This window comes from Homo sapiens, chromosome 3 (assembly GCF_000001405.40).
Source record: "Homo sapiens chromosome 3, GRCh38.p14 Primary Assembly".
Lineage (NCBI taxonomy): Eukaryota > Metazoa > Chordata > Mammalia > Primates > Hominidae > Homo > Homo sapiens.
The window spans coordinates 167,667,587-167,676,558 of record NC_000003.12 but is presented as its reverse complement, the minus strand read 5'-3'; positions in this window follow the sequence as shown (position 1 = coordinate 167,676,558).

Here is an 8,972-nt window from a genome sequence, read left to right as displayed (position 1 = left end):
TCTTTTTTGTTCTTCTCATTTCTTCTTCTCTTCCTCTTCCTCCTCCTCCTCCTTCTTTCTCTTCTTTTTACTCCTCCTCCTCCTCTTTTTTTTTTTTTTTTTTGGTTTGTTTTTGAGACAGGGTCTTTATTGCCCAGGCTGCAGTGCAGTGGCACAAACATGGCCCACTGCAGCCTTGACCTCCCAGACTCAAGCAATCTTCCTGCCTCAGTCCTCCAAGTAGCTGGGACTACAGGTGCATGCCCCCATGCCTGGCTAATTTTTGTATTTGTTGTAGAGACAGGGTTTTGCCGTGTTGCCCAGGGTGATCTTGAATTCCTGAGCTCAAGCGATCTGCCTACCTCAGCCTCCCAGGTGCTGAGATTACAGGCATGAGCCACTGCACCTGGCCCAAGGTCTTTTATTTCTGGAAAGTTTTCTTAAATTATAGTTTAAAATATTAGTTTTACTCTATTGTTTTTGTCTTCCTGGGTCATCAATTAAATATATGTTGGACCCTCTTTGCCTGTCATCCATTTCAATCACTTTATCTCTGGCCATTTTTACTCCTTGCCTACCTCATTTTTGTGATCATAGTTCATGGTTGTTTTTCTGCTTTTCTTCAAGACTCTATTACTTTATCCAAATATCTTCTTAGAGCACCTTGTAGTTTAATTTTTATTTTTGTTATATATGTTTTTCTATTTCTTTCTTGCATTTAATCAACTCTCATTTTATTTCTTGTTATTTTTGTGCATTTTATTCTCTGTTTTTAGTACTTGTACTTCTGATTCAGTCCAGTTTTTTAAATATGCTTGAGAATATTTAGTTGGAATGTGCTGGTACAGTTTTCATTGGCTTCTTGTATTTTTGTTTTTGTTTAATTTCTTTTAGATAAATGGAGATTTTCATCAGCTGAAATGAATTATGTTGATAATGGGAAAAGAAGGAGGTCAGCATGCCTTGTTCTTTATATATCACCAGAGATTTAATCTTTCCTTCTTATTTTATTCTTCCCTTTTACTGCCTCATTGTCCTCTGGAAGCAGTGCTTCACTAAAGCTTCCACTTCCAGTCTTGCTTCTTAATATGTAAGTAGTGTTGTAAACTATCAAGTACTCACCTGTGTTCAGAATTTTGGACTTTAATATTGCACTTTCCCTTTTTAGGCAGAATTTTTCCTTTGCTTTGTCTAAGTCGTCTGTACCCTGTACTCCTTTTCATAGAATCCCTTACTCCCTTGCCTACTGTCCACACTTACAGGCTTACAGCATCAGGGGAGCAGTAGGAGCTCTCTGTTGGGAGTTTTTCTTCTCTGCTTAGAGGTGACTTGAAGGCTGCAGTGTTTTCTGTCTCCTAGTAATAGTGAATGCATAGGTCATCTAAAGTTTAATTTATTCTCTTTGTTCGTATATCATTTCATTTAGTAGGATGTGGGGAGAATTCAACATTAGCTACCATTGTTCTCTAGAGCTATAAGGTTCTTTTCCAGTTTTTAAAGTAATTTTGCTGGTTTGTGAAATTTATAATTCCTGAAACCTATGGATTAGAAGACTGACCCTTAGAGATAAACTATCCTGTGCTGTCTCTTGGGAGGACAGATTCAGCAGAAAGTTACTGGCTCTTCTCAGTTTTTCCTTTTCCCTTCTCTCTCATCAGCAACAAGAGTAGGAAATAAGCTCCATTACTGTCTTTTCCTGGTGTGTTTGCTGTTAACTTGCAGGTTACCTTGGGCCACAATTATCTTTCTGAGGAAGTTCTCAATGGCATGCTCATGTTGGCTAAAGTGGGATATTCATGGGTTTCAAATTAAGAAATAATATGTCTATTAAGTCCAACAACTATTTCTAGTCACCTGACACTATTTAAATCAACTGTGATAAATGATGTAATAGTGTGCATTTTGAGTAAAACTCAGTGATTAATGATGGCTAAACCCATTTATATCAGTCTGCTTGAGCTAGCATAAAAAAATACCATAGACTGGGTGTCTTAACAAAGTTAATTTCTCACAGTTCTGACAGCTGGAAGTCTGAGATTAAGGTGCCAGTATGGTCGAGTTCTGGTGAGGGTTCACTTTCTGGCGTGCAGACAGCTTTCTCACTGTGCCCACACATGGCAGAGAGAGGGACAGGAGAAAGACAGAAAGCTCTCTGGTATCTCTTATAAGGGTAGCAATCCTGTTATGAAGGCCCCACCCTTAAGATCTCATCTAAACCTAATTATCTCCCAAAAGTCCCATCTTCAAATACCATCACATATGGAGTTAGGGTTTCAACATATGAATTTTGAGGGAATGTAATTCAGTCCGTAGCACCACTCAAGACAGTACCTGTTTGGAGTATAGAATTCAGGATTCTAACAGGGCAAGGAAAGTCTGACACTGGTGGTTGAAAAGAATAGTACTCTTGAAAAGAGCAGAAATAATTGTATTGTTGATAGTGTTAGCTAAGTATCGTAATCAAATGGAGATGAGTTCCACAAAGAATTGAGAAAGAGAGCACGAGAGATGGCAGCCGAAAGAAATGGTGAGTGCTTATTAATGAACTGCAGCATAGCAGGGATAACACAACAGAAATCAGTGAGAAATGAAGATCATATATTAATATATTAGATATTCCTGAAAAGACCCCAGAAGATAAAGAAAACAGCAACTCAGATATAAAGACATAGAGAGTTCCTTTTCCAGGATGCTCTACTTTTCCGGAGGGCTATACATAAATGGAAATTATGTTGTAAATTTTATTTCCCTAAAACGTGTCTGTGGGTGGGATAGCTAATCAGGTTCTTATTAGCTGTCTGCTCTTATATAAATTGTAGCTTTCTGAGCTTTAATTTCCTCACATAAAATTTTTGGGCACATAATGAGACTTTCTTCCCAAAATATTAGCCCACTCCCTATTTGCTTTCTTTTAAGGAGACGATCCTCATTATATTTTGTTCTTGGTTCCCTCTCTGCATTCTCCCAGTAGAAGATGGGATAGAGAATAGGCAGTAGAACTGTGTATGAGGGTTCTCCAGAGAGTGAATAGGCTATATATATATGAAATTAGCTCACGTGATTACAGAAGCTGATAAGTCCCAAGATCTGCTTCAAGGTAAGCTGGCAAGCTGGAGACCCAAGAAAGCTGATGGTTTAGTTGCAGTCTGAGTCCAAAGGTCTGAGAACCAGGAGAGCCAATGTTGCTGTTCCAGTTCAAAGGCCAGTAGGCTCAAGACCCAGGAAGAGCCAAAGTTTCAGTTCAAGTCTGAAGGCAAGAAAAAAGCAATGTCTCAGTTTGAAGGCTGTCAGGCAAAAAGAATTTTCTCTTAGTCAAGTGAAGGTCAGCCCTTTTGTTCTAATCAAGCCTTGAACTGACTGAATGAGGCCCACCAACATGATGGAAGCAATCCCGTCTATCCATGCCACTGATTTAAGTGTTAATCTCATCTTAAAACACTTTCACAGAAACACCCAGAATAATGTTTGACTAAGTATCTTGGCACTCTGTGGCCTAATCAAATTGACACGTAAAATTAATCATCATAGTTGACAAGGGAGTCTCATCCTGTTGGCAAGACTTGCCGTAGAGGGAAAGGGAACAGCAAAAGAATCTAGAACTGGCCTATGAATAATTTTGATTTAGAATTTAAATCACAGGAAATACTCTATTGTTTTTGAAATGTGATTGTGACATCACCAGTGAGGTCAGTCTTTACAGTAATTTTGGTTCTGAATATGAAAACCCTTAATTTTTAAATTTGGCAAATCAGTGGTCTATTTTGGGACCACCTCCCCCACTACCTCCATGAAAGCCAAACTTTATAGCAGGGGAGTCCAATCTTTTGGCTTTCCTGGGCCTCATTGGAAGAAGAATTTTCTTGGGCCATAACAGTAACTGATGAGCTTTAAAATGTATATATATATATCGCAAAAAAACCCATGATATTTTAAGAAAGTTTACAAATTTGTGTTGGGCCCCATTCAAAGCCATCTTGGGCTACATGTGGTCCATGGGCCACAAGTTGGACAAGCTTGTTCTATAGCTTACCAACAAGTAGGCCTAAAGAGGGAAGATGAAATATAGTTCATTTTAAGGGGAAAATAGCCTACAAAAGTTTAACCTTCTGAAGAGTCAATTGAGGCTGTTGAAATAAACTGATAATGAACAGATTAATTGGAGAAAAGACATACAGATTTATTAATATGCACAGGAGCCAAATAAAATGTGAGACTCTGAGAAGGGCCAGATAGCTGAAACGTAAATAGCATAAAGGAATGGGAACCTGAAGCATTGGGGGGAAGTAGCAACAAGTTAGGGGAGGGAAAGGGGAGGAACCAAATGATGAGCAAAGGCTGTCTTACTATTCAGATAAAAGTTGTTTTAGAGCTGCATCCAAAAGAATAGGTGATAGCCTGTCTGCCTGCAGTGATGAATTAATCTCCTCTGTGGTGATTAATCTTTCCTGGTTGCTTAATGAGTTTCCTAGGGAAAGGATTCGAGACCATTGTGTTCCTTTTGGAAGAACTTCCTTCCCTCAGTCAGATAAGGGAACTTCAGAGAAAGGACCTCCCTGCACTTCAGCAGAGAAGTTGTGGAAGGAGCAGAAGGTCAGAGAGAAACATTGGTTCTGAGGCTTCGTTCTGGAGCATTTTAATCTCCTTTGTTCAAAGCTCTCAGCATGTTTTGGGGTGTCATTTTCCGAGCCCCAATACTACTAAATTACATTTGTCAGATTACTGACCTTACAATGTTGAAGAATGTCATCTTCTTAAAACATACACACACAAAAATACAGAGACCAGAAGAAGGACAGCATATTATCTAGCCAAGCATCCAGCACAGTGCGTAACACTTAGTAGGTACTTTATAAATATTGAAAGAATGACCCTTTAGACTTCTTTTGCTTCAGTAATATCAAATATGTATTATTTATAGAAAATCTGTAGGAAAGATAAAGAGGAGATTAAAAGTGTTAAAAAAAAGTTTTTTCTTGCAGAGAAACAAAATAATAATCAGGGAAGAGAAGGCCAAAAAAATCTAATGAACCTTCAGACATCTTAAGGGAAACCTAAGATAGATGGCCTCTCTTGCTAAAATTAATACTAAAGAAAGGAGAGGAAGCCCATGGCGGGGCATGGGGTGGGGAGGGTGGGGCCCAGAAACCACACAATAATGCAAAAATGAATTTTTATACCATACCTTTCAACTATAAGACTTACAAAAGAAGTTAGGAGAAGGAAAATGTCCTGGACAACTACTCTAAATTTACATTACCTTATAAATGTACTGAAATGTTAACTCAGCATGAAATAATTGAGATTTGTTATTGTTTTGTAAAGATGCTAAATAAGAGGGGAAACAGTACTTCAGAGAAGACGTCTCTTCATCTGGGCACATTGCCTAAAAAGCTGAAAATTATCAACAGATATTATTCTAAATGGGATTTGGAAAAGAAGAAATTTTGCGGATTAAATTCCAAATGAAATTAAGATTACTGTGGGAGAGAAATTGCTGAATACTGGTCTATTTCACCTACTTTCTTGATTAGCATTTGTGTTTGACCTCTTTATCATATTTATACATTTCTATTTTCTATTAGGTTTTTCCAAAAAATTGTTTTATAGAGTTTTTATGATTTTGACAGTTCAACATTTATATTCCAAGCAAAAGTGATAATCTTTTTCAAGCGTGTGTTACTAAGGTCTTAGAGAAAATAAACCCAGTCATTTGATACAACAGCAGGAAAATAGGAGTCATCTTTCTAAATTAAACCAGCTATTCATAAACCTATTTATTATCTAATTTTATTCTACAATTATCCTACATATCTGGTTTTTCAAGTGTGGATAGGAAGTTATTCTGTGCATGCCAGTATACTCACTCTTTCTTAGCTCTTTCTTTTTTTTTGAGACGGAGTCTCACTGTGTCGCCCAGGCTGGATTGAACTGCAGTGGTGGAATCTCAGCTCACTACAACCTCCACCTCCCGGGTTCAAGTGACTCTCCTGCCTCAGCTTCCTGAGTAGCTGGGATTACAGGCCCTGGCCACCACACCTGGCTAAGTTTTTTTTTATTTTTAGTAGAGATGGGGTTTCACTATGTTGGTCAGGCTTGTCTTGAACTCCTGAACTCAAGCAATCCACCCACCTCAGGCTCCCAAAGTGCTGGGATTACAAGCATGAGCCACTGCGCCCGGCCAGCTTTTTCTTTTTTTGATGATACAAGTGCTAAATGAGTTAGTTACCTTAGTTTTCTCTAAAGTCCCCTTCTGAAGGAAGCCGCCTCACCTATGGTCATTGCAGAAAGAGAGATCTGGCCTATTACTATGTGACCCTTCCCAGCTACAATGATTAACTGGACCAGCAGCAGAATCTTTATCCAAATGAAAAAAAAATGCTGACTTCTGGCCTTGGAGATAGCTTTTCTCAACCATGATGAGCTGGGTCACTTCACATCCTTGCTCCAGATTCTAAACCAGGTAATTCTAAGTACTGGCTGGCAGTGAGAGAGGAAGCTGAAAGGATACAAAGAGGCTTAAAGCAGAAGGAGGCACACAAGAGCCAACATTCAGAAAAGCAGAAAACATGAGTAAGAATGAGGTGGAGAGAACTGATCAAATGGTAAGTTGTCCCTTGATAGAGTAAAAGCAGAGTATAGAAACACAGAGAGAAACAGCTGGAGAGTTGCTTAAGTTACATTGAGATGAAAGTTCACTTGGCTGCTGTTGAGATAAAATAATACAGTCCCCAGTTCTGGTTTGTTTCCAGAACGGCCTTCCAGTTCCAAACAGAATCAAACTGGGCTGTGCCATAATTCCTTACTTACCTGTTCCTTTGCCTCCTTGTGTGTTCAAAATATAAACAACAACAACAACAAAACAAATATAGGCAAATGATTTCAGGTATAGCTGCAGTGAATAGTGAACAAAATGCTGATCTGCACTTTATAAAAAGAAGAAATTGGGAGAAGGAAAATGTCCTGGATGACAATTCTAAAAAACATTACTTATTAAATGTACCAAAATGTTTAAACTGAAATGTTTAAGACGGATCTTCTGATCTTATATTGTCCTCCGTTCTACTCCCTCCTCCCTCCATCCTCCCAAAATACAAGACACCTAAGAAAACACTCTTTGACACACATAGCCAATTTTTGATTGGACATCCCATTGAGCTGGTTCTCAGAAGCCTAATATTACTATCATGTTCCTAACTGCTGTATTTGTTAAGAATGTATTAGGTTGTGTGCAACAAAACTAAGTAATGTTTAAATAAATAATTTTTTTAACAAAGCAAGAAATTTAGAATAATGCAGTTGCAGATATTGATAGTGTCTTAAATATAGACTTTGGGAGACTTTCATAGGCTTTTCCTCACTCATTCATGTCCACATTTGAGGCAGGATAAAGGGAAGAGGGATCCTCTTGTCTTACCAGATAAAGTGAAAGTCTTTCCAGGGTCCCCAACAGTCTTCCATGTATGCTTTCATTGTCAAGAATTGTGTCACATGGTCATTTCTGCTTATTAGGGAATCTCAGGAATTACTTGGTAATGACTGGTGCTGGGCACCACGTTCTTCTGCAGGAAAAGGAGTTTCTATTAGCAAGTAATAGATGTTATAATAGAGATGATAATACTGATGGAATGGACTCTGTGACAATATGGCACCAAATTATAAACAAGTCCCCTAAGGCCATACCTTGAGATAAGCAATATTAAAACATTTGCAGCTCACTGACTGCCAGATGTTGACTGATAACTCTCCCACCCCTATTCCACAAGCCATAAGTACAGCTTTGATTTGACAAGAGACTGATTTCAGTAACTTTCTGCTGATGAGAGACTACTGATCATGGACTTGTTCTGGCCAGTTTACAGAGGCTGCACACTGAGTGTCTTAGCCTCTGCTGCTTCACCTTTTGACATATTGAGCTTCACCTTTTGACATATTGGGCCTAAATACGTTTAAATGTTAAGTCTCTATGCCAAAGATGCATGCATGCACGTTTGCTTAATACACATGCAGGTGTCCCCCTTTGTCAATATTCATATCTCCTCTTATAACCTGTTGAATATATATACCTAGCTAACCTGCGTAGCATAAATTCCTGTCTTACCTTTCCTCCAAAGTGACTTGTTTTTCGCCTCTGCTGGAGGGTATCTATACTTCCCTGCAGGCTGAAACACTTTATAAGAAATAAAGTTCTCTCGAAATTTATGAACCTTGAGACGAATGAGATGCAGACAGGCAGCACTGGAGAATGAACACTAGTCATGGATGCCTGGGCATAGCCCAGAGCCAGGGACTTCCCTGGGTGAGGTTGTCCTCATACTCAACTAGCCATCTGTTGGTGCTACAACAGCTCAAGCCTAAATCCTGAAATTTGCACTTTTCTTTTAGCTTGAAAAAAATTTAAAGCTACAGAAGAATTGCAAGAATTGTACAATAATATGTCTATATGTATGTATGTATCATTGTTATATAATATGTATTATCATCATTGTTGAACTAATTTTAAATGTTGCAGACATCATGACCATGACCTTATCCTAAATACTTCACCATATATCTCTTAAGAACAAGTATATATTTTTTACATAACTTAGGGCAATAATCAAATTCAGAAAATTTAATTGATTTAATACTGTTATCTAATATACAGTCATATTTCAATTTTGTTTATCCTTCCAATACTGTTCCCTCCCCACCCTCCCACCCCAATTCAGGAGCCAATCTAGGATTATGACATGGATTTAGTTGCCATGTATCTTCAGTTTCAATTTTTCTTTGTCTTTTCATAACATTGACTTTTTTTAAGAGAACAGCTGGTGGTTTTATAGAATTCCATCAATTTGGGTTTGTCAGATTATTGGCTTATGATTAGATTCAGTTATGAATTTTGGCAAGGATATTGCAGAAGTTATGATAGGTTCTTCTTAGTGCAACTTATCACGATACACATGATGTCTGTTTGTCCCATTATTGGTGATGTTAACTTCCGTAACTTGCTC